Here is a 25,190-nt window from a genome sequence, read left to right as displayed (position 1 = left end):
AACACTCTGTATCTAGCTAGTCTGGTGGGGCCTTGGAGAAACTTTATGTCTAGCTACGGGATTGTAAATACACCAATCAGCACCCTGTGTCTAGCTCAAGGTTTGTAAACACACCAATCAGCACCCTGTGTCTAGCTCAGGGTTTGTGAATGCACCAATTGACACTCTGTATCTAGCTACTCTGGTGGGGACTTGGAGAGCCTTTGTGTCCACACTCTGTATCTAGCTAATCTATTGGGGACTTGGAGAACCTTTGTGTCTAGCTCAGGGATTGTAAACGCACCAATCAGTGCCCTGTCAAAACAGACCACTCGGCTCTCTGTAAAATGGACCAATCAGCAGGATGGGGGTGGGGCCAGATAAGAGAATAAAAGCAGGCTGCCGGAGCCTGCAGTGGCAACCCGCCCCCGTCCCTTTCAACACTGTGGAAGCTTTGTTTTTTCACTCTTTGCAATATATCTTGCTGCTGCTCACTCTTTGGGTCTACACTGCTTTTATGAGCTATAACACTCACTGTGAAGGTCTGCAGCTTCACTCCTGAGCCAGCGAGACCATGATCCCAGCAGAAGGAAGAAACTCCGAACACATCCGAACATCAGAAGGAACAAACTCCACACGTGCCACCTTAAGAGCTGCAACACTCACTGCGAGGGTCTGCAGCTTCATTCTTGAAGTCAGTGAGACCAAGAACCCACCAATTCTGGACACACTGGGATTACAGGTGCATGCCGCCACGTCCAGCTAATTTTTGTATTTTTAGTAGAGACAGGGTTTCAACACGTTGGCCAGGCTGGTTTTGAACTCCTGACCTCAGGTGATCCACCCGCCTTGGCCTCCCAAAGTGTTGGGATTACAGATATCAGACACTGCCTGGCCGGTTATGTCTTTCTTGATTCTAATCAGTATGTACATAATTTTGCATAGATATATTGATTAGGGAGGCATTTATGAAGGGCAGGTAGTGGAGAGGCTGGGGTAAGGTTAGGTAATAGGAGTTCTAGGGGATTCCATACTTTGGCCTATAATGGAATTGTAGCCTACCCAGCACTTTAAACATTCCCGATTGACTCCAATATTTGTTCTTCTAGCCACTCCTTCCCCTCTCAGCCAATGTACTTAGGGAGAAGCTGATCCCATGCTAAGTTCCAGGAATGGGCTTTATTTTCCAGGAATGAATCCATACCCTTTCCAGTAAAGGGCTCTGGAATCCAGGTCTAATGAGTCCATACCCTTTCCAGTAAAGGGCTCTGGAATCCAGGTCTAAGTGCCATGTGATTGGTTTAGGAATGGACCAATGAGACACTGTGAGGAAGTTTCCTGAGGGCTTCTGGGAATTTTCTCATAATAGAAAGCTACCAGAATTCACAGGCCCTTTTCATCTTGACTTCTTGTCCATAGACCTGAGGCCAGGGGCTGTGGCAGGCATTTTGTAGGCAGCCTAAGGGTGAAACATGCACAAGAGAGAACAAGACAACACCACAGAGAAGCAGAGCTCAGTAATGGCTGAGCCCTGCCTCACCTCCACCATTCCTAGACCTTCTCAGTCTCTTAGCCAATGAACAGCCTTGATTTTAAAGCAATTTTTATTTGAGTTTTTGCTTCTGGAAGCCAAAACAAACATTTTAGCCTATGGAATCCCAATTTATACTTAACGTTTTTATTTGTTAATCTTTAAGTTTCAGAATTCTTTTCTGATTATAAAAATAATACATACTTATTGTAGAGAACCAAGAAAACATTGAAAGATATAAAGAAGAACATTAAGACCATCCATAATCTCACTATCCCTAGATAACTGCTATTGAGTTTTGAGTTAGTTTCCTCTTTATGTATCCAAACTTACACAGAAATTTTACACATATATTTATCCTGCTTTAATGAAATTCACAGCCTAGTGGGAAATAGAAACAGACAAACAAAAACCGAACAAATAGATGAATATCTGCGACTATGGAACGTCATAGTAACTACTAACCTTGTGTTCACTGTTTTTGGGTAAATGTTGCTAATAATGTTATACCCCATCTCCACAACCCAGAACAAATCAAAGATTTATGTTAATAACTATTAAAATATAATATGCTCTAAAGTATAACAATGTCTCATAATGCCACAAAATCAACCAGTTACCAATATGTTCATTTGGTTTCCCTTCAGTAGGATTTCTTATGGGAAATTGTCCCCTGTCAGTGACTGGTTTCGCTCAACTGTCATTAGGTCTTGTCACAGTAGTTTAATTACAGCAAAAATGGCTGTTATATTGATCATTTTGACAACACACACACAAAAGGTTCAGTATTCATCAGTGTGCTGGGTAAAAACCCTTGGAGCAGGGCCCTCAAGAGGATGGAAGTTACATTGCTATGATTAGTACCAAGCCCATCAGTTCTAAATGTTTTCTAATTTCTATTATGATTTTATGACCCATGAGTTAATTGGAATAGTGGAAATATGGGGCTTGCCAGTTACCTTTTGGTTATTGATTTTTAACTTACCTATATAGTGACCAGAAAATGTGGTTACTATGATATAAATCCTTAGATATGTGGAGACTTGCTTTATGACACAGTATGTTCAATTTTTGTAAATGTTTAGCATATTCTTGATAGGAGTGTGTATTCTATGGTCATTAAGGCAATATTCTACACATATATATTAGATTAAGCTTGGTAATTGTGTTACTCAACTCTTCCAGTACCTTAAAGATTTTTTTGGTCCCCTCGGTCTATGTATTAGTTTCCTGTAATCAGTTGCTTAACAAATTATCACAATAGGTGGCTTAAAAAAACCGACATGAATTCTCAGTTCTGGCATCTAGAAGTCTGAAATCTACATGTTGGCAGGGTCACAATCCCTCCAGAGGCTCAAGAGGAAAATTTGTCTCTTCCAGCTTTGGGTGCTGTCAGCATTCCTTGACTTGGGAATGCCATCACTCCAATCTCTGCTTCTGTGGTTACATTACCTTCTCTTCTCTTCTACCTCTCTTTTATAAAGACACCTATCATTGGATTGATGGCCCACCTGGATAATCCAGGATGATCTTCTCATCTCAAGAACTTTAATTACATCTGCAAACGCCGTTTTTCCAAATAAGGTCATACTCGCAAGTTCTAGGAATTAGGATATGGACATATCTTGTGGGAGGCTGTATTCAACTCACTGCAATTAGAGAGGGAGTGAAAAATCACCTACTCTGATGGTAGATTTCTTTGTCTTCTTATACTTCTGTTCATTTTCGCTTCATATATTTTGTGGCCATATAGTCGCTATGATATAAATCCTTAGATATGTAAAGACTTGCTTTATGACACAGTATGTTAGAGACACTTTTTTGACTCTATCTTCCCTGTATATTGGACTTTTTTTTTAAATGTAAAGACCCTTCTTTATCCCATCGCACTCACCCAGCCATCTACCTAGAGTCTGTTGATGATAAACCATTAGTTGTTTGAAACAGAATTTGCCTTCCTTCTGCCTCTCTTTTTGCCACACATGTAATTCTAAGGTTTTATGTTTTCCCCTTCAGCATACCACTTAATTCTCTTTTTTTTTTTGGAGACAGTCTCACTCTGTCACCCAGGCTGGAGTGCAGTTGCGCGATCTCGGCTCACTGCAGCCTTGACCTCCAGGGCTCAAGTGATCCACCTAAGCCTCCAGAGTAGCTGGGACCACAGGCACACGCCACCATGCCAGGCTAATTTTGTTTTTAGAGGCGTGGTCTTGTTATGCTGGTCTGGCTGGTCTCGAATTCCTGGGCACAAGCGGGCCTCCCATCTCTGTCTCCTCAAGTGGTTGAATTACAGGCGTGAGCCACTGCGCCCAGCTCGCATTTTTTTTTTTTTTTTGAGATGGAGTCTCGCTCTGTTGCCCAGGCTGGAGTGCAGTGGCGCGATTTCGGCTCACTGCAACCTCTGCCTCCCGGGTTCAAGCAATTCTGCCTCAGCCTCCCGAGCAGCTAGCTGGGACAACAGGCACGTGCCACCACGCCCGGCTAACTTTTTTGTATTTTTAGTAGAAACGGGGTTTCCCGTGTTAGCCAGAATAGTGTCGATTTCCTGACCTCGTGATCCGCCCGCCTCAGCCTCCCAAAGTGCTGGGATTACAGGAGTAAGCCACCGCGCCCGGCCTGAGCCGGCATTTTTAAAAGTTGGGTTGCTGGCCTTAGTGCATACAAACGTAAAGGAATTTTAAAAACACATGAGTAACTCAAACGCATTTCTTTTTTGCGCCATCCTGCTATGTGTGATTCGGTTTTTATTCTCGATTTTGTGCGTGTGTGTCGCGACGGCTGGGGACCGACCCAAGAGCAGTCGGACCACGGGCCGCCCAGGGCGGTCTCATCCGTTTATAACCTGCGACCCCGGGGCCTCTTGTGGTCCCGTACCTCCGTCCCAAGCAAAAGCCGGGGCTCTCAGGCACTCAGAGGTGCGAAGGCCCCGTAGACTTGGAGGACGCGAGGAAAACACCTCCAATCACTCTGGCCAGTCCACAGCTACTGCCAAGACTGCTCCGCGCGCGTCCTCAGGAACCGGCGAGGGCCTCGTCGTCATGGTAACCAGATTGCGAACGCGCGTGCGCAAGACACACCTTTGTCACGTGAGGCCGGGCAGGGGGCGGGGCCGGCGAATGCCCGTCCCGACCCGTCGCGCCTCCCCTGTTAGCTCCCTGCCAGCCGAGGCGGGGCGAACCTCTGCCCTGTTGCGTGGGAGTGACTCACAGCTCCCGCCCCTTTTGGCTCCGCTTTCTCGCGGCCAGTCCCTCGCACCACGTGCCCTCCTGGCCGCGCCCCCAGCTGCCCTTTCCAACTGCCTGTTGGAAGCCGCTGTAAAACGTCGTGAGGAGCGCCGCTGCTTTACGGCTGCCTCTCCCAGACTAGAGCCCCGGAGCGCCCACCGCCGTCAGCCGCGTCTTCAAGCTAGTCGGCCCCGCGGAGAGCGAGAGACCCTGCGCACCGCAGCCCTCTCCGCTGCGCCCATTCCTGCCGCCGGCGATGTAACTCGGGGAGGCAGCGGTGCCCGCTGGCCCGGGGTTGAGACAGGCGGCAGGTGCCTGTGAGGCGGGCGGGTGCCGGGGGCCAGCAGGATGGAGGAAAGCATGGAAGAGGAGGAGGGGGGCAGCTACGAGGCGATGATGGACGACCAGAACCACAACAACTGGGAGGCTGCGGTGGACGGCTTCCGGCAGCCCCTGCCACCTCCGCCGCCCCCCTCGTCGATCCCGGCCCCTGCCCGAGAGCCTCCGGGGGGGCAGCTGCTGGCGGTGCCCGCGGTCTCCGTGGACAGGAAAGGCCCCAAGGAGGGGCTCCCGATGGGGCCGCAGCCACCGCCGGAGGCTAATGGGGTGATCATGATGTTGAAGAGCTGCGACGCGGCCGCCGCCGTGGCCAAGGCGGCCCCCGCCCCCACCGCCAGCTCCACCATCAACATCAACACCTCCACCTCCAAGTTCTGTGAGTCCAGCCTTTCCCTGCAGCCTTGGCTTTTCTCCACCTCACTCGGACGCCGAATCCACCCCCTCTTGGAGAAAGCTCCGCTTCCTTTGTTTCAGGCCTCGGTCTTTCCTCTTCTCCCCGTCCGCCTTCGCCTCCCTGCCTCCTTCCCCCTCACCGTCCCCTCCCCCTCATTTGGTGTCTGCGGCCAGCGCCTGAGCGGCCCTGGCTTCTTGTATTACCTGGCCTAGAGAGGCAGCCTGGTACACACGGAGCCCCAAGTTCGGTCAGTGCGATCCCTATCACAACTGGCAGTCTCTCAACATTGGGAAGCTCTTTTCGCACCCGTCTTCTCTTGAAGTTTCACCCTCAAAGTGAGGGGAAAATAAGGCTGCCTGAGTCTCGTTAGGGAAAGGCCTTCAGTCTTCTGCAGCCAGAGAGAGAAAAGAAATCTGGCAACTTGTGTTCTTGTGTTTTTGGCCAGGCTGTGTTAAACAAGTAAGGAATTTGAAAGTTGACCTATATCTACACCTTGTTCCTTCTCTACTGTGTTACACTTTTGCATCCTGCTAGGGAAATAATGAGTTGCTTTCCGATGCAGTGGCAGCTCCGACATCGTCTTGAAGCTAATAATGCATAAAATCACTTTTCAGAGCTTACACTCATAAGAATAAGCCTTTCAGGATGGGTTATGTCTTGTGTCCAAACCCAAGATTGGGTTGCATGTTGAACTTTATGTTAGTAGTCTGTCTTAACGCTCAATTGCACGCATTAAGATTTAAGACCAAAATCTGTTTTGTAATCCGAAACTGCCTCTGACCAGGATATATGTATGCTTCCATAGCTAGGAAAAGAATGTGCTTTTACTTTGGTTTGTGTGTATGTGTGCGTGGCGGTGGTGGTGGTGATAGGATGTTGAAAATGATTGTGACCATCACAGCCAGGTTTTTCTCTCCTATTATTAACTGCAAGTTTTGAGTGGCATCTGGTAAAGCAACTGGAGAGTTCATTTCTAGCTACTAATTTTATGAAGCTGTACTTGTCCAGTTAGCTGTGCAGAGAAAATATTTGCCTTGATGCAGATAGTCGGAATCTTACACACTGTGTGTGGGAACAGCGCGTAATTTTATTTGCCCCAAGATACTGCCTTAGTCAAAGACATTGATATGTACGTTTGGTAAGATTATATACGCTTTTTCTCCTTATTCATGATAATCATGTTTATATTGTATAGTTTGTGTGTTGAAGGCTGTGTTGTGGAACCAGACCTCCTGTAGAGTGGCAGAATGACTTCACCTGAGTCACGAAGGAAGATTGCCTTAGTAAAGTTCCTTTGAAGAGTTCAAAAAAGAGCATAAAGTTAGGAACAGAAATCAGTAAAATTGAGAACAAAAGGATTTGTCACACCAAAAGATTATTTTTGTGAAAAGATGAGTAAGCTAGGCAGACAGACCTCTGATAAAAACGACAAGAAAAAAAGATGCAAATAAATGAAAAATGGAAAATAACTACAAATATCAGATTAAAAAAAGAACGTTATGAACTTAGGCTGATGAATTTGAAAGCCTAAATGAAAAATATAGTTCTTAGAAAACTAGTAAATGTGAAAATTGGTATCAGAAGAAATATCTTGAACTAATAAACTGAAATGGTAAAGATCTCCCTTTTTAGAAGCTCTGCATCCAGATACGCTGATGAGTTCCACCATACTTTAACACTTAATTCTTTTTGCAAGTTGCACTGGAAAATAGAAAAAATACCAAGTTCATTTTATGAGGCTTGTGAAATCTTGATTCTAAAACAGATAAGGACATGTAAGAAGAGAAAATTATAGGTCTGTTTTACTTAGCATAGAAATGAAAATACTGCAGAATAAATACTCGCTCATCAAATCCAACAGTGTGTTACAGAGTCCTGATCCATAGAGTTAGTCCTAGAGATGAAAGCATGGTTTAACATCTACTTATCTAATTTAGCTCTTTAATAGACTAAAGGAAAAAAATTACGATTATCTCAATTGGTGCCCTGAAATCATTCAACTAGATCCAGCAGCTATTTATGATAAAAACTCTTGGTAACCTAGGAGTACAAGATAACTAGATAAAGGTCATTACCAAAAACCTTCAGTAAATAATAATACTTAATGGAGAAATTTTAGATACATATACTTTAAGATCCGTAACAAGATAAGGATGCTCCTGTCATTACTACTGTTTAGCATTGTAGGAAGGTCCTGGCTAACATTATAAGGAGCAAAAAAATAAGGTATAAAGATTGTAAGGGAAGCAATAAAAGTTATTATTTGCAGATAATATGATCACCTACCTAGATGAACCATTAAAATCCAGAGAAAACTTAGAACTAGTAAGAGTTTAGCAGGATTGCTGGATTTAAGATAAACTTACAAAAATTTGATAGCATTTACTAAACTAGTGATAACTAGTAAAGATAATCAAAAGTAAATACTATATGTAATAATAGCAACAAAACTCTAAAGTCTCTAGGAATCAACCCGTGAATACGCAAGACCTTTAAAAAGGAAACTTTAAAACTTGAAAAAGAAACTAGAGGATAATCTAAATAAATGGTACAATTTTCCTTGCTCTTGGATCAAATTACTTACAAGAATACTAATTTTCTCCAATTTATAAATTCAGTTTAAATGACGTCAAAATTACATTTGGTTTGACAAACTCAATAGCCTAAGTCTAAAATTTATATGGTGTGTGGGATAAAGTTTGTGAATAACAGAATCAATCTTAAAGATTTGTTTGGGGATGGGAGGCTTGCCTTATTAGAAGTTAAGATGTCAAGGCTGTAGTTAAAGTGGTGTAAGTGCGAGAACAGAAAAATAGACCAAGGAAACAAATTGGAGGGCAGAGACTTACCTGGATACATGTATAAAAGTTGGGAACTTTTTAAGTGGCATCATAAACCACTGGAGAAAGGAGTCATATGTTGTTAGGGAGAGTGACTCACTATATAGAGAAAAAATAAATTTAATATCATAAATGGATAGACTCCAAATGAATTAAAGACCTAAATGTGAAAAGAAAAACCAAAGTTAACATTATTGAAAATGTTAAGCTCTTTCCCTAGGGACAGGGAAGTACTTTTTAAAGCTTCAAAAGTTTATAAAGGTGAAAAATTAATTATTTTGATTATATGAAAATTATTCATTTGGCAAAAGATGAAAAAATTAGAGAAGATATTTACAGTGCCTAAAATTAACAAGGGATGATGATCTGACTAGACAAGGGACTACTTACTATACATCAACAAGAGGGCAGCAACTTCTGTAGAAAAATAGGCAAAGGATATTAATAAGTAGCTTATAGAAAGAATAGGAAACCCTAAAAAGCATAAGAAGAGATGAATTTATTAATATTCAGAGACATGCATATTAAAATAGTAATGGAAAAGAGTATAATTGGATTGTTTGTAAAACAAAGGATAAATGCTTGAGGTGATGGTACCGCATTTTCCCTGATGGGATTATTACACACTGTATGCCTGTATCAAAATATCCCATATACCTCATAAAAATATATGCCTACTATATACCCACAAAAATTAAAGAATAAAATAGTAACGGAATGTCTTTTTCCACCTTTAGGTTGACAAAAATTAGAAAGCTGAATGAATAGTGCCAAGTGCAATGGGGATATGGTAATACAGGAAAACGTATACTTGCTTGTGGGAATAGCAGTGTAGTGAACTTGTGAGATGTTGAGATGTCCGAAGTCTCTGTGGACCAGATAGTGGAAGATAGCTGCCGCGTTAATGTATCCCTCAGCTATGGCAGTGAAGGTATACTTTAGACTGTAAGGTGAAAACAGCTTCTGTTGGTTTCTAGTTTTGGGACAGAGATAAAAAGCATTTATTATCTTGATGGATACATGGTAGGTGCCAGGGATGGTGTTGATTTGTCACAGTGAAGAGACCATGTCTGGAACAGCAACTAAAATTGGAGTCACTTTGGATTTGATCGATGATAATCCACAGTCATGCTCCAAGACTCATCTCTTTTGCTCTGGCCAAACAGACCCATGAAATAAGAATGTCATAATTATCACCATTCCTTTTTTTTTTTTGAGACAGTCTCGCTCTGTCGCCAGGCTGGAGTGCCGTGGTGCAGTCTTAGCTCACTGCAATCTCCGCCTCCCGGATTCAAGCAATTCTCCTGCCTCAGCCTCCTGAGTAGCTGGGATTACAGGTGTGCACCACCATGCCCGGCTAATTTTTGTATTTTTAGTAGAGATGTGTTTCACCATGTTGGTCAGGCTGGTCTCAAACTCCTGACCTCAGGTCATCCACCCGCCTTGGCCTCCCAAAGTGCTGGGATTACAGGCGTGAGCCACCACGCCCGGCCCTCCTTTCTTATTTTTAAAGTCTTTGACATTGATAGTGTTTTCTATAGTTCCCACAGAGATGTGTTGTTTGTTGCTTCGAGTTTATTACTTTGGTAGGAAAGGGTACATCTAGCCCTTCCTATGTTGATATTCCTGACTTCACAGGTTAGGGAACCATGAACTAGTTTCAGAACTGGGGGAGTTACAGTGTTACTACGGGTCCACCAGCCCTACTGTGAGATGGATTGAGGCCAAAACACCATTTATGTGACGTCCATAAGCCCCTGATCTGCCTGGTTTACCATAGTGACGTTCCTGTCTCTTAGGGTTCGTATTGGCTTAGAGCCAGTGTTTATTAATCTTTGAAAAGTCTCAGTGATTTCCATTTCCCAAATGTACTATCTCCCTAATAAATACCTGCATGTTCTATTGGAAAAGGCTAGGAGGAAGACTTTAATTATGTGGGGTTCTTCCTCAGTGGAACTCATCCTCTTCTTTATTCCAGCATTTCTGTGTCTGTGAATAGGCTCATTGTGGGTTTTAGGTGAGGTTACATGGCTTTCCATTATGCCACTTAGGTGAGACCTCTGTTTAATATATCTAGAGTTTTTCTTTTCTGTCCATTATAACAGATCAAGTAATACCCCAGTATATTGCCTTTGTTTTCCTAAGGATATCATGGTTAGCCACCATGAGGGAGATCCAAGCCACCAGAAATCCAAGCCACCAGAAATCCAAGCCATTCTGCTGATCACTCTGGCCCTGCTGCCTCTTTAAATAATCATGCCCATTTTATATCTGGAAGTTATTTCCACTTCGTCACTCTGGAAGTAGAACTATTCCACTGAAATCAGGGAACCTCTTTTAATGGCAGTATTGCCCATCGTTAACCCAGAATTACAAGGGACAACCACCACAGCATTTTTTTCAGTAATTATATTTAATTATTTATATATTTCTCAGTTGGTGAAGGACCTTCTCAGAGCACAGTTCAGGGAGTAAGAGTGGGTTAGAACATGACAAATTTATATTCCTTTCTTCATATGTCTGGACTCATTTCTCCACGTACTAAGTAATTTCTGTTCTGACTGCTTCCTCCCTCCTCCTGACTCTTCTTCCTTTTCCTTTCCTCTTTTTCCTGTGTCCATTTTCTTCCTCCACACCTCTTCTCCTCCATTCAATATAGTGTACCCATTTTAGGTGTGCAGTTTGATGCATTTTAACCCATGTCGCCGTCTGGTGTGGAATTTGATTTTACCCTACTAATACTTAAAAGGTAGCCTATTACTGTTACAGGTTGACTATCCCTCATCCAAAATGCTTGGGGCCAGAAGTGTTTTGGATTTCAGATTTTTTTCGGATTTTGGAATATTTGTGTTATACCAAATGATTGAGCATCCCAAATCCAAAAATTCAAAATCCAAAATTTTCCAGTGAACATTTCCTTTAAGCATCATATTGGTGCTCAAAAAGTTTCAGATTTTGGATTTTTGGATTTAGGATTCTCAACTTGTATTACTGGGTGCTGACATAAGATGGGGGACTCCTGAGTGAGAGATGAAGGAATTTATTTTTCTTGTCATAGCACACAGCATGAGAATTGCTATATTTGCATAGTTTCCCCTTCCCCCAAGTCCCAAGAGGGTGACATACTATGACCAAGATGGATGCTCTCTCAGTGGTTCTGTGTTGCAGCTGAAGAACATCAAACTTGGGGAATCCACTACTTTTATAGAAAGCAGTGAGCAAGCCTGCTCTTTGTCTAGCGGGAGATGTTATCTCGTCTTTCAAGGTTACCAGGTACAGAATGGCCCAGGTTCAAGAGTGATTGCATTCCTGGCATACTCAATAAGACATGTCGGAGTGCGTGAGGCCCACGGAGGACTGTCTGTCCAGCAGTAACCACCACAACAACCAAGAGAACATTTCTGTCACCCTGAAATACTTCCCTATGTTTCTCTGTCTCTCTCTTTTTTTTTGGAGATGGGATCTCACTCTGTCGCCCAGGCTGGAGTGCAGTGGCACGATTTCGGCTCACTGCAACCTCTGGCTCCCGGGTTCAAGTGATTCTCCCACATCAGCCTCCCGAGCAGCTGGGATTACAGGCACACACCACCACACCTAGCTAATTTTTGTGTTTTTAGTAGGGATGGGGTTTCACCATGTTGGCCAGGCTGATCTTGAATTCCTGGCCCCAAGTGATCTACCTGCCTTGGACTCCCAGAGTGCTGGGATTACAGTTGTAAACTACCATGCTCTGCCTTCCCTGTGTCTCTTTGCAGTCAGTTAACGCTGCCTGCTTCCTCCAGCCCCAAGCATTCCTACTGATCTGCCTTCTGTCACTGTAGGATTTCATATAAATGAAATCATACAATGTGTATTGTTTTGTGCTTGGCTTGTTTCTTATTCTGTTCTTGAGATTCTTCCACGTTCTCGCATATGTCAGTTACTTATTCATTTTTCTGACTGAGGAGTAGTAGTTTTTTTTTTTTTTGGATATCCCAAAGTAGTCTTTTTTTTTTTTTTTTGATTTACCAAAAAATCATTAATTTGTTGGTCATTAGGTTGATCATTTAGGTGGTCTCTGGTTTTGGCTGTCATGAACACAACTGCTGTAAACAACCATGTACAAGGTTTGGTGTGGGTAAAGGTTTCATACAAGTGGAATTCCTTGCTTATATATTACTGATACGTTTAACTTTATGAGAAACTGCCAAACAATTCTTTAGGGTGGTTGCACCATTTTACACTCCCATCAGCTGTATATGACAGCTCCAGTTGCTCCACTTACTTAATTGGCACTTGTACTGGTTAGGCTCTGCATTCTTGGTATTGTCAGTCTTTTAAAGTTTAGCCTTTCTAGAGCATCGGTCCCCACCAGGGACCAGTTGCGTGGAAGAGACAATTTTTCTGTGGACTGGGGGATGGTTTTGGGATGAAATTGTTCCACCTCGGATCATCAGGTCTTAGAGTCTGGTAAGGAGTGCGCAACCTAGATCCCTTGCGTTATAGGGTTGGCGCTCCTTTGAGAATCTAATTCCTGCGCTGATCTGACAGGAGGTGGGGCTCAGGTGGTAATGCTCGCCGGCCCACAGCTCACCTCCTGATGTGTGGCCTGGTTCCTTACAGGCCACCGACCGGTTCCTGTGGCCTGGGGTTGGGGACCCCTGTTCTAGAGAATCGTAGTATCTCTTTGTGTATTTATTTTGCATTTCTCTTTTACATGTGCCGTTGGCTTTTTCATGTGATCATTTGCTTGCCTTATAATTTTGTTTGTGATAATCTGCTCACATCTTTTGCTCATTTCTTTTGTTGTTTGTCTTAATGTGTTTAAAGAATTCGCTATAAATTTTGGATACAAGTTTTGTCAGACAACTATTATTACTGTTTTCTCCCTCTGGTTTGTCTTTTTTTTCTTAACGGTGTCTTCTGAAGAGTACATGTTTTTCAGTTTTGATAATGTCTAAACTGTCAATTTTTTCTTCTAGCTGTTGTTTTTTGTATCCTAAGAAATATTTGCCTACCCCAAAGTCAAGATTTTATCTGTAATTTTTCTTAGCAGTTTTATGGTTTTAGCTTTTACGTTTAGGTCTGTGATCTGAATTATGAGTTGATGTCTGTATAGTGTGAGATAAGGATTGAGGCTCCGTTTATTCTATATGGATATCCAATTGTGTTGGCACTATTTGTTGAAAAGACTATCCTTTTCTTACTGGGTTACTTTGGAAACTTTGTCAGAAATAACTGACCATGTATGTGTGGGCGTCAGTTCTATTTCATTAATCTTATTTAGTCCATCAGATTTAGGATTGTTGCATATCTTCTTGATGAATTGACTGTTTATCATGATGGAATGTCTGACTTTATCCTTGTTAATATTCCTTACCCTAAAGACTCCTTTTTTTTTTTTTTTGAGACAGTGTCTCGCTCTGTTGCCCAGGCTGGAGTGCAGTGGTGCGATCTCAGCTCACTGCAAGCTCTGCCTCCTGGGTTCACGCCATTCTCCTGCCTCAGCCTCCTGAGTAGCTGGGACTACAGGCGCCAGCCACCACGCCCAGCTAATTTTTTTTTTTTTTGTATTTTTTTTTTTAGTAGAGATGGGGTTTCACCGTATTAGCCAGGATGGTCTCGATCTCCTGACCTTGCGATCCACCCACCTCGGCTTCCCAAAGTGCTGGGATTACAGGCATGAGCCACCATTCCCAGCCAAGACTACTTTTACTTGTAGGCATTCCAGGTTTTTTTTTAAGGGTTATTGTTTGCATAATGTATCTTTTACCATCATTTTACTTTTAATTTATTTTTTGTGTAAAGTACATTTCTTGTAGACAACATATGGTTGGATCTTTTTTAAAATCCAGTCTGACAACCTCTGCTACCATTGTGTTTAATGTAGTTACCAATATGGTAGGGTTTAAATCATATTGTCTTGCACTTTTGTTTACTCTTTGTCCATCTGTTATTTAAAAAATGTTCCTTTTTTCCTGTCTCCATTTTTTTTTTTGAGACGGAGTCTCACTCTGTCGCCCAGGCTGGAGTGCAGTGGCACGATCTCGGCTCACTGCAACCTCTACCTCCCAGGTTCAAGCGATTCCCTTTCTCAGCCTCCCGAGTAGCTGGGATTACAGTCATGTGCCACCACACCCAGCTAATTTTTGTATTTTTAGTAGAGGTGAGGTTTCGCCGTGTTGGCCAGGCTGGTCTTGAACTCCTGACCTCAGGTGATCCACCTACCTACCTCGGCCTCCCAAAGTGCTAGGATTACAGTCATGAGCCACTGGGCCCAACCCTTTTCCTGTCTTCTTTTTTGTTATTTTTATGATTCAGTTTTGTCTCCAGTTTGGCTTATTAGCATGGTTGTTTTGCTCTTTGGGGGTTACTCTAGGATTTATGATTATGAAAGTTTAACTTACAACAGTCTACCTTCAAATAGTATTAGACTACTTTACTTATAATGTAAAAATCTAATAGCAGTATACTTCCATTTATCCACTATTGTCCTTTATGCTATTGTTGTACATTTTAACTTTAATATATGTCATAATTCCCCAAATACACTGTCATTAATTTTGCTCAAAACTGTCACGTATCTTTTTTTAAAAGTTGGAATGAGCCGGGCGCGGTGGCTCATGCCTGTAATCCCAGCACTTTGGGAGGCTGAGGTGGGTGAATCACAAGGTCAGGAGTTTGAGACCAGCCTGGCCAACGTGGTGAAACCCCGTCCATACTAAAAATACAAAAATTAGCCAGGTGTAGTGGTGTGCGCCTATAATCCCAGCTACTCAGGAGGCTGAGGCAGGAGAATTGCTTGAACCCAGGAGGTGGTGGTTGCAGTGAGCTGAGACCGCATCATTGCACTCCAAGCTGGGCGACATGACGAGAATCTGTTCCTGCCCCGGCCCCCCAAAAAAACTTGGAATGAAATTTATGTAACACACAATTAACTATTTTAAAGTGAATAATTCAGTGACATTGAGTACATGCCCAGTGTTGTGCAACTACCTCTATCTAGTTCCAAAACATTTTCATCAACCCAAAATAACATTCCATACCCATTAAGCAATTAGTTCCGTTTCCTCACTTCTCCCTGCCCCTGGCATCCACCAATTTGCTTTCTGTCTCTCTGGGTTTACCTATTCCAGATCTTTGTTTTTTTTGTTTGTTTTTGTTTTTGTTTTGAGACGGAGTTTTGCTCTTGTTGCCCAGGCTGGAGTGCAATGGCGCGATCTCAGCTCACCACAACCTCCACCTCCCGGGCTCAAGCGATGCTCCTGCCCCAGCCTCCTGAGTGGCTGGGACTACAAGCATGCGCCACCATGCCCGGCTAACTTCGTATTTTTAGTAGAGACGGGGTTTCTGCCATGTTGGCCAGGGTGGTCTCAAACTCCTGACCTCAGGTGATCCACCCTCCTCGGCCTCCCAAAGTGCTAGGATTACAGGCGTGAGCCACCGCATCCGGCCTCCAGATCTTTCATATGAATGGAATCATACTGAGATTTCTTTGAAATAATAATAAACTGGAATGTAAGTGTTTTGTATTTACCCAGATAGTTATCATTTCTGTCCCTCTTCTTTCCTTTGTGTAGATGGAAGTTTCCACCTCTTATTTTTCTTCCCTCTTTAGAACTTCCTTTAATATTTCTTATAATGTAGTTCTGTTGGCCTTCAATTTGTTCAGCTTTTGTCTGCAGAGATCTTTATTTTATCTTCATTTTCTAAGGATATTTGCTGGATATAGAATTCTAGATATACAGCCTTTTTTTTTCTTCTATAAATACTTTAAAGAGTCTTTCCATTGTCTTCTGACCTGCATTGTTTCTTTTTTCCTTTTTTTGGGGACGGAGTTTCCGTCTTGTTGCCCAGGCTGGAGTGCAGTGGCGCGATCTCAGCTCACTGCAACCTCCACCTCCCGGGTTCAAGTGATTCTCCTGCCTCAGCCTCCTGAATAGCTAGGACTACAGGCAAACGCCACCATGGCCGGCTAATTTTTGTATTTTTAGTAGCGACAGGGTTTCACCATGTTGGCCAGGCTGGTCTCGAACTCCTGACCTTAGGTGAGCCACTGCACCCGGCCTTATTGTTTCTTTAATAAATGTGTGTATAGTCTTATCTTTGTTTCTCTATATATAATATGCCCCTTTTTTTCCTGGGTACTTTTAAAATTTTTACTTAAGTTTTCCGCAATTTTTTATGTTCTTTTTTAGTGTTTATTTTTTGGATTTGTGGGGTTTTAGAATTTGTCAAATTTGGAAAATTATTCATTATTTTTTGTCAGAACCCCCCTGCCACTAGTTACACATATGTTATAACACTTGTTATTGTACCATGAGTCACTGAGGTTCTGTTCATTTTTTTAAAGATTTTTTTTTTCTTTTTTACTCTCTGTGCTTTAGTTTGGGTAAGTTTTAATGCTATGTCTTCATGCTCACTAATGTTTTCTTTTTTAGTATCTAATCTGCTGTTAATCCTGCTCTTAAATCAGTGAGAGTTCCAACTGTTTTTAATGCAGGCTGACAGTCCAGGTTTCAGTTAACCAAGCAAACTGTTAGAACTGTATCCAGTTTCTTGAAGTAGTATAGTGAATAAAGAATCTTTAGTAAGTGCATTCCTTTTAATGACTTGTTGCGTCTAAAGTTCTTTCTTCATTGTTCAGCACCCTCACAATCCATTCCCACATGTATTCCCAAGTTTCTGCCAGTATAATGTATTAAAGTCTTATAGTTCTTTTGGAATGTAAGCTGTCTCCTATTTATTTAGGTTTGGTACTTGTTCCCTTGGGAAATCTGATTCTAGTTAGAGATCTAGAGACTCTAACTAGAGTTCTGCTTAGAGAGAATCTTTTTTGTGAGGTTTCAGGTAATATCATGGCAGGGTCTTTAATCAAGTAAAGTTAGTCTCATGTTGGGAGGGGGGTGTGTAAGCAGGGTTTCGTGAGGTCAGGGTTTTCAGATTGATCATACTCCACCAAACTGGCCCCATTTCTGCTGGGATTACAGGAGTGAGCCTCTGTTCCCGGCCGAACTTCAGGATCTTATTGGGGATCTTGTCTTGCTATTTTTTGACCTGCATCATATAAAATGTTGTTGATGAAACTGTAAGAGAAAGGCATTTTAATGTTTACTTAAGGCCCAGTCCCAAATCTCTAAAGAAAATGAATACTGTTTATTTACTGTAAACTCTGTAAACCGTAGACCATATGTATTCACATTGTAAACTGTTAAGCACTATATAAAGGTTGATTGTTAATATCCTTTTATGGTATGTCTTGACAGGGCAAGCTGGCTTTCCATTTTTTCTTCCTGCTTTTGTGGACATTCGGTTATTAACCTCTAAAGATAAAGTTGGATAGATGTGTAATATGTAGTTGCAGGTATGCTGATTCATCATCTGAATGGCATTTTATTAAGTGTTTATTGTGTGCCAAAGTAATATTTTAGCCTCTGGTAATGAAGAGACACAGTTGAATGTGGGAGGTGATAGAAAGGTAATTATGATACATTATGATTAAATGCTATAATAAAGCTATGTATTTGGTAGCATTCAGGAAAGAGAGTCTTTATAAAAATGAATAGAAGTTGGCCAGGAGGATAGGGGGTGGGGATGGGGAAGCTGGACTGGAAGAGACTTCCTTGCAGAGGGGCAGCCTGTGCCAAAGACCCAGAATTGAAATTATTTTTGGAATACAGAGTAGGAGGAGAGACTGGCTCATGTTAAACATGGATAGATAGAAAGGGCTAGATAGTGAAGGACCATGTTAGTGGAAGGATTTTCTTCTGTAGTAATGGGAGGTTTTAAGGGAGACATTTGTCTTAGTGTGTTAATTTAGAGCGGATAGAGAGTGGAGGTCTAGGGGCTAGTTAGGGTGTTACAATTTCTGTAATCTAGACAAGAGATGGAGATTGAACAAATACAATTTTAAAAGATAAGAGGTTTCAATTTGGAGATATTTAGGGACTAGAATCTACAAAATTTTGGGGGTGAGGAAAGGAAGATGAAGATTAAAGATTGCTGGTTTGGATGACGGGTAGCTGTCAGTGCCTTTGACCCAGACGTGGAAGGTATAAAGGTGTGAAGTGAGGGGGTGTGTGTGTGTGTGTGTCTGTCTGTCTCTTTTAAGGTGTCTATGGAACAGTCAGGTAGAGAGGTCCAGAAGCAGTTGGTAAATTCTGCATTTTCTCATTTCCTGTGCCTTAGAATATTGGAGATATTCTGAAGCAAAATTTTACCCTGAAACAAAAATTTAATTTCAATAGATTTGCTTTTCCATTTCCGAGGATTTGAGATTCGCCAAACTCTTCGTACTTAAAAAACAAAAACAGTACTTTGCTCTTATTAAAGTAATACAGGTTTATAATTTTAAAACTCAAATTATGCAAAAAGACACATAAAATCAGTGGTTCCTTTCCCTACCCCTTCCCATTCCTGGACCCGTTACTCAAAGTCAGTCATTTAATTACGATTCATTTAGCTGTTTCTTCTGGTATTAGCCACACATTTCAATGTGGTGATATTGTTACTGCTTAATTTATCATTTTTATATTACCTGTTGACTTCCAGGATTTAATTCTCTTATACCTCTAACATACCTTACCTTTCTAATTTTTTTACTATCACAGTTTTGTTTGTTTTTTTTTTTTTTGAGATGGAATCTCACACTGTCGCCCAGGCTGGAGTGCGGTGGCGCGATCTTGGCTCACTGCAAGCTCCGTCTCCCGGGTTCACGCTATTCTCCTGCCTCAGCCTCCTGAGTAGCTAGGACTACAGGCGCCTGCCACCACGCCCGGCTAATTTTTTGTATTTTTAGTAGAGACGGGGTTTCACCGTGTTAGCCAGGATGGTCTCGATCTCCTGACCTCATGATCTGCCCGCCTCAGCCTCCTAAAGTGCTGGGATTACAGGCGTGAGCTGCCGTGCCTGGCCACTATCACAGTTTTAAAAAAATTTTTATTTATTTTGAGACAGAGACTCACTCTGTCTCCCAGGCTGGAGTGCAGTGGCGTGATCTCGGCTCACTGTAGTCTCTGCCTCCTGGGTTCAAGAAATTCTTGTACCTCAGCTTCCTGAGTAGCTGGGATTACAGTCATGTGCCACCATGCCTGGCTAATTTTTGTATTTTTAGTAGAGATGGGGTTTTGCCATGTTGACCAGGCTGGTCTTGAACTCCTGGCCTCAAGCCATCTGCCTGAGTTGGCCTCCCAAAGTGCTGGGATTACAGGTGTGAGCCACTGCAAACGGCCACAATTTGTGGTTTTAATCAGTAAGCCATATTTACATTATAGCTATGTAAATATTCACGGAAGGGCCTAAAGTGTACTGAGATTACATTTTATTTTACATAGAATGTTGTTGTTAGTTGCCTTGTTTGTATTGGCAGAATTTTTGTTGAACTTACTCTTTTTGTTTGTTTGTTTGTTTTCTGAGACAGAGTCCCGCTCTGTCGCCCAGGCTGGAGTGCAGTGGTGTGATCTCAGATCACTACAACCTCCGCCTCCCAAGTTCAAGCGATCCTCCCACCTCAGTCTCCTGAGTAGCTGGGATTATAGGCGCATGCCACCACACCCAGCTAATTTTTTTGTACTTTTAGTAGAGACGGGGTTTCACCATGTTGGCCAGGCTGGTCTCTAACTCCTGACCTCAGGTGATCCATCTGCCTGGGCTTCCCAAAGCGCTGGGATTATAGGCATGAGCCACCGCACCCAGCCAAACATACTCTTAAAACTTTTCAACAGCTTTGTTAGATTCGCCATGTACCTGTCACTGGTGTTTTTGAAATGCTCAAACAAATCAGCTTTTGTTTTTGTCTGTGAAGCTGTTAGTCCTCTTGTTTCTGTTTATTGCTTAGGGCCAGTGCATAGTTGCCACTCAGGGACTTCCCAGATACTTGGAATGATTGCTTGTCTTCCTTTTTATTGATGAATTTCTGAGTATGTATATAGAGCATATCTTCTAGTCATTTCCTGAGAGTGTGTGGATAAAGTTTCAGGTCTTGGCATATCTAAAAATGCTGCTTTCACACTTGATTGATAGTTTGGGTATAGAATTCTTAACGGAAAATAACTTTTCCTTGGCATTTTAAAAGTATTGCTTCATTAACTTTAAGCACGCATATTAAAATGGAGAAGTCAGGTGCCATTCGTTTTTTCCCCTTGAGAAAATTTCTTAGTTCTTTTTTTTATATTAATGTGTTAATATTTCTCTCCCTTTACATTTTCTCTGTTCTGTTTTCTCTGGAATTATTGGTAGTCAAATGTTGAATTTCTGTTTTGATCTTCTAAGTCTGTTAACTGCATTTTGCTACATCCCCTTTCTCATCAAGCTCTGGGAGATTTCCTTGATGTTGTATTTTTAACACTGACCTTTTTTTTTTTTTGAGACGGAGGAGTCTCTGTCACCCAGGCTGGAGTGCAGTGGCATGATCTCGGCTCACTGCAAGCTCCACCTCCCGGGTTCACACCATTCTCTTGCCTCAGCCTCCCGAGTAGCTGGGAATACAGGTGCCCGCCACCATGCCCAGCTATTTTTTTTGTATTTTTAGTACAGACCAGGTTTCACCGTGTTAGCCAGGAGACTCTATCTCCTGACCTCGTGATCCGCCTGCCTTGGCCTCCAAAAGTGCTGGGATTACAGGCGTGAACCACAGCGCCCAGGCTTTTTTTTTTTTTTTTTTTTTTTAAGAGCACTTGGATTACTTCTTTTTTATGACACTGTTTTTAATTTTTATCTTACCTTTCTGAAGATAGTAATTATAGTTTTTAAACAAGTTCTATTCTCTGGATTATCTTTGTTTTTAGCTTTTCAAATTTGTTTTGATCTCTCTTGTCTGAGACTTTCTACAAATCTTTGGTGATTCTTAGTTGTCTATCCATATTTAAAAGTGAAAAAAGATAATTGCTAGCTCTGTGTTTATAATGGGCCTTGTCATATTTAAGTATTGGGCTTCATGTTAGGTTGATTGAATGCAGAGCTGCTATTTTGTTGAGGAACTGCCAGATATTAGTATGTGAATGTCTTTTCTCTGGGACTGTTTAGTTTCTCTAGAGAAGGATCTTCCATTCTGAGAGAATGGCAGAATGGATAGGTGGGGGTGGGGGTAGGGGTGGGGAATAAAGCATATTTTTCCTGGCGCGTAGCATTCTGGAATGAAAGGAGTGGGTCTAGATGTTTGAGCATTTCTTACGCTGACTTCTGCTTAATCTGCCAGTTCTGTGCTTCTCACTCCCTCACAGTCCTGCCCTGAATGTTTCTAGGTCTCAGAGTTCTAAGCCTTTGTCTCTCAGTTTCTCCACAGAATAATCCTTCTCGGTTCTTTTTACCGTTGAGTCTGCAGACTTTTCTATTGCATCTTCCACCCATTTCCAAAAATGCCTGTTCATAGTATTATGTCCTCAAGTCCTGATCTTCTCAGGGGCCTACAGGGCAAGGTTTGTTTACCCACCATTGGTATCCACCTCAGCACCTGCTTCAAGCTACTGCTTCAAGGTTCAGACTCTACTGGGCTTAATGCCAAGGAGAGATTGACTTATTTAAATCTTGGAAGACACCATGAAATTTTAAAACTGTCATAGACCTGCAGTTAGCATAGTTTACACCTATGTAATCTCAGTTGAGCAGATACTTTTCTGTTTTGAATTTTGAGTACTTTGAATTTTATGAGATTTTGGATTAGGTGGAGTTGGAGCTAAAATGGATGTCTTGATAGCTCTTGAACTTTTCGTGTATGCATGTATGTCATAACATGTCCATTTTAGGAACTGTGTCACAGGCTCCTATGTGATGTTGTAATGGTAGAACAGTGTTGTATAGTAACTATTCTAAAGGAACATAGATCTCAATCTGCTGGTAGGCCACTACAGCTAGGTTTTTTTTTTTTTTTTTAAGATAGTAGTGATGAAGGAGGTTTCTACTATTTTATTACATTTCCTCTAATTGAAAAATGTGTAGATTTCTAAGCAGTAAAACAGTAACTGTGTGTTTGCTCTACAAGTTTTACAGTGTTTTGGGGGACGAGGCACTTCATTTGAAGCAAGGCAAAGGAGGTTTTATACGGCTGGTATGTTATAAGGCTTATCTGGACCAAAATGTTGTCTTGTTATGGGGTAGGGAGCATAGAACCCTTAAAGAGTGTGTTAATGAGAACTTAGATAAAATAAAAATAAGACATCAGTGTCATCTGGTTGTTGTCATCTGAATGTAATGAATATACTGAGGAATGACTAACTCATGATCACAGTAGACATTTTAAATTGTCCATAGTGTTTAAATTGAATTATGCAAACCATAAACCCTAAAATTTAGAAACTTCCCAAACAAATACCTAAAGCACACAACTTTTAAGAGGCTTTAACCTACTTTAGAAATAATTGCTGCCCTCTTGTACTGGCAAATCAAAATATACCTGAGTAGATGATACAGGTTTTTTTTTTTTTTTTTCCCTCCTAATAAGGAACAGATATGTTAAAGTACTGTCATGCTTTGCTTAACAACAGGGATACATTCTGAGAATTCTGAGAATTGTTTTGTTAGGCGATTTTGTACACTGTGGGAACATCATAGGGTATACTTACACAAACCTAGGTGGTATAAGCCCACTACACACTTAAGCTATATAAGATATAGCCTATTGCTTTTAGGCTACAAACCTGTATGATATGTACAACATGCTACTGTACTGAATACTGTATGCAACTGTAACATAATGGTATTTGTGTATTTAAACATAGAAAAGGTACAGTAAAAGCATGGTATAAAAGATAAAAAAAATGGTATGCGTGTATAGGGCACCTATCATGATTGGAACTTCCAAGACTGGAAGTTGTGTGGGTGAGTGGCATGAGTGAAAGTGAAGGCCTTTCTGTATATTGCTCTAGACTTTAAAAACATTGTACACTTAGGTTTTACTAAATTTATTTAAAAATTGCTTCTGGCCAGATGCTGTGGCTCACGTGTGTAATCCCAGCACTTCGGGAGGCCAAGACAGGCAGATCACTTGAGCCCAGGAGTTTTAAGACCAGCCTGGGGAACATGGCAAAACCTCATCTGTAGTCCCAGCTACTCTGGAGGTTGAGTTGGGAGGATCACTTGAGCCCCAGAGGGAGAGGTTGCAGTGAGCTGAGATTGCACCACTGTACTCCAGCCTGGGTGACAGAGTGAGAGACCCTGTCTCAAAAAAAAAAAATTATAAATAATAAATCAACCTTAGCTTCCTGTAACTTTTTTACTTTATAAACTTTTTAAGTTTTAAAAAACTTTTCGGCTTCTCTGTAATAACTCTTAGCTTAAAACATAAACACAGTACAACTATACAAAAATATTTTCTTATCCTGATAAAATTTTTTCTGTTTAAAAAAATTTCTGTATGGCTTTTACTTCTTATACTTTCTATGACCATTCCTCTTCTTTATCTACAAGGGCTTCCCTTCCATTCCTCAGGTTATGTTCTTGGCCTTCAGCTGCTCTGAGTCCAACACTTGGAAGAGTTCAGTCGTCCCCCTGTGCTGGAGGGAGCAGAACATTTTGCTGGAACATTCAGGCAGATTTATTAGATTGTTATTCACAGATGAGCATACTCTAGTGACAAAAAGTCATCATTTTTCTTTTAGATAGCATACATTAACTAGCTCGAGTTAAACAGGTAACAAAGGGCTCTTTTCTCCTTGTCTGTTCTGATTATCTAGTTGCAATTAATTAAAAAGTCATTCATAATTTAGCCTTTTAAATTTGGCTTAATTATTTATTTTATAATTGCCATTACTACATTCTTAAAGAGTCTATTCTAAATGAAGGTGGCTTTTTTGGTGGGAAGAAGGGATATGGAAGAGAAGAATTTTAGTGAATCTTTGGTAGGAAGACAGTTCCTAGCTACCTTTTTAACATTTTGTTTGATATATTCACACCTTTATTTGACTCTCCAAGGTGTTGAGAACAGACAAGCCATATATTAGCAATTGAGGAAAGAGGAACACCTAAGTGAACCCTGGCTGTCCAGGGCTGCTGAAGCATTAGAGTGGTTTTCAAACTTTAACAGGCGTAAGAATTATCTGGAGGGCTTGTTAAACAGCTTCCTGGGTTCCACCCACCCCTAGAATTTCTGATTCAGCAGGTCTGTGTTGGGGCCTGACAGTTTGCATTTGCAACAAGTTTCCAGGTGATGCTGCTGCTGCTGCTCTGGATCTCACACTTTTGAGGCACTGATAGAAAGTAATGATCAGTCTCTGCAGTAGACCAAGTATGAATTCATAATGCTTACTATAATTCCTGAATTTATTCTTCCCTTATAAACAAAAAAACCCTTAAAAGGATTATATAGTAGGGCTAACCTGGTTTGCTTTAGCCTATGTGAAATCAAATGTAATTTAAGCTTTAATTGCAAAACAGCTAATAAGTAGTATATCTTTCACTGTTTTTCTGTTCAGCATTTATTTTGACTCACGAAGTTAATTCGCTTTACAGATGTTACTGGGTACCTACCATGTGTCATATACTGTTTAGAGTTGGGGCTCTAGCAGTGAATTCCTTCTCCATGGGGCTTAACGTCTAGTTTGAGGGAGATTGACAATAAACAAATAATATGTCAAGTTATTTGGATTAAAAAAGTGTGAGAGTTGAACATATTTATTCTTGCCTGGTATGAATTATAGACCTCTAATGGTTTCCTGTTTATCAGCAACCTGATAATATTTCCTGAATGAAGATTCCAGCTATTCCATGTGTTTCAGACTTTGTTTCATTTTATCTTAGTAAAGGTCAGTTAAACTACTTTCTCAGTGGGATTTAGACTGTGTGAGCTTATTATCTTAAAAATATGTGTTTCTAGGTTTAAGCCTTGCGGCATGATGTTTTTACATTTTTTTAGTAAGTGTTTTAAAATTTCTTGAACCTCTGTGCCTCTAGAGGGCAACACACATTCTGCT

At 41.4% G+C, this 25,190-nt stretch overlaps 1 protein-coding gene and 1 long non-coding RNA gene across 2 annotated transcripts in view, besides 2 other annotated features; both read left to right on the top strand.

The window, feature by feature from the left end:
• The first annotated feature begins 395 nt into the window (after window positions 1–395).
• Window positions 396–2,092, top strand: LOC107987151 (uncharacterized). The gene is made up of 2 exons (XR_001747604.3): window positions 396–1,212; window positions 1,259–2,092. It is a non-coding gene; the product is annotated as an uncharacterized LOC107987151 (long non-coding RNA).
• Window positions 4,514–4,808: an enhancer, noted in NCBI's record as "tiled region #11808; HepG2 Activating DNase unmatched - State 1:Tss, and K562 Activating DNase matched - State 1:Tss". NCBI's record gives its function as "activates a minimal TATA promoter and a strong SV40 promoter by Sharpr-MPRA in HepG2 and K562 cells {active_cell/tissue: HepG2 | K562}" and the evidence as "EXISTENCE:reporter gene assay evidence [ECO:0000049][PMID:27701403]".
• Window positions 4,807–4,946: an enhancer, noted in NCBI's record as "active region_4103". NCBI's record gives its function as "activates an Ori minimal core promoter by ATAC-STARR-seq in GM12878 lymphoblastoid cells {active_cell/tissue: GM12878}" and the evidence as "EXISTENCE:reporter gene assay evidence [ECO:0000049][PMID:35858748]".
• The window catches only part of CACUL1 (CDK2 associated cullin domain 1), a 78,560-nt gene continuing 58,244 nt past the window's right edge, over window positions 4,875–25,190 (top strand). The window contains exon 1 of the mRNA NM_153810.5: window positions 4,875–5,449. Within this exon, the coding sequence (NP_722517.3) occupies window positions 5,083–5,449 (367 nt within the window). The 5' untranslated portion in view covers window positions 4,875–5,082. The remainder of the gene's footprint in view (window positions 5,450–25,190) is intronic.

This window comes from Homo sapiens, chromosome 10, assembly GCF_000001405.40.
Source record: "Homo sapiens chromosome 10, GRCh38.p14 Primary Assembly".
NCBI lineage: Eukaryota > Metazoa > Chordata > Mammalia > Primates > Hominidae > Homo > Homo sapiens.
This window is presented reverse-complemented; position numbering and strand designations above follow the sequence as displayed.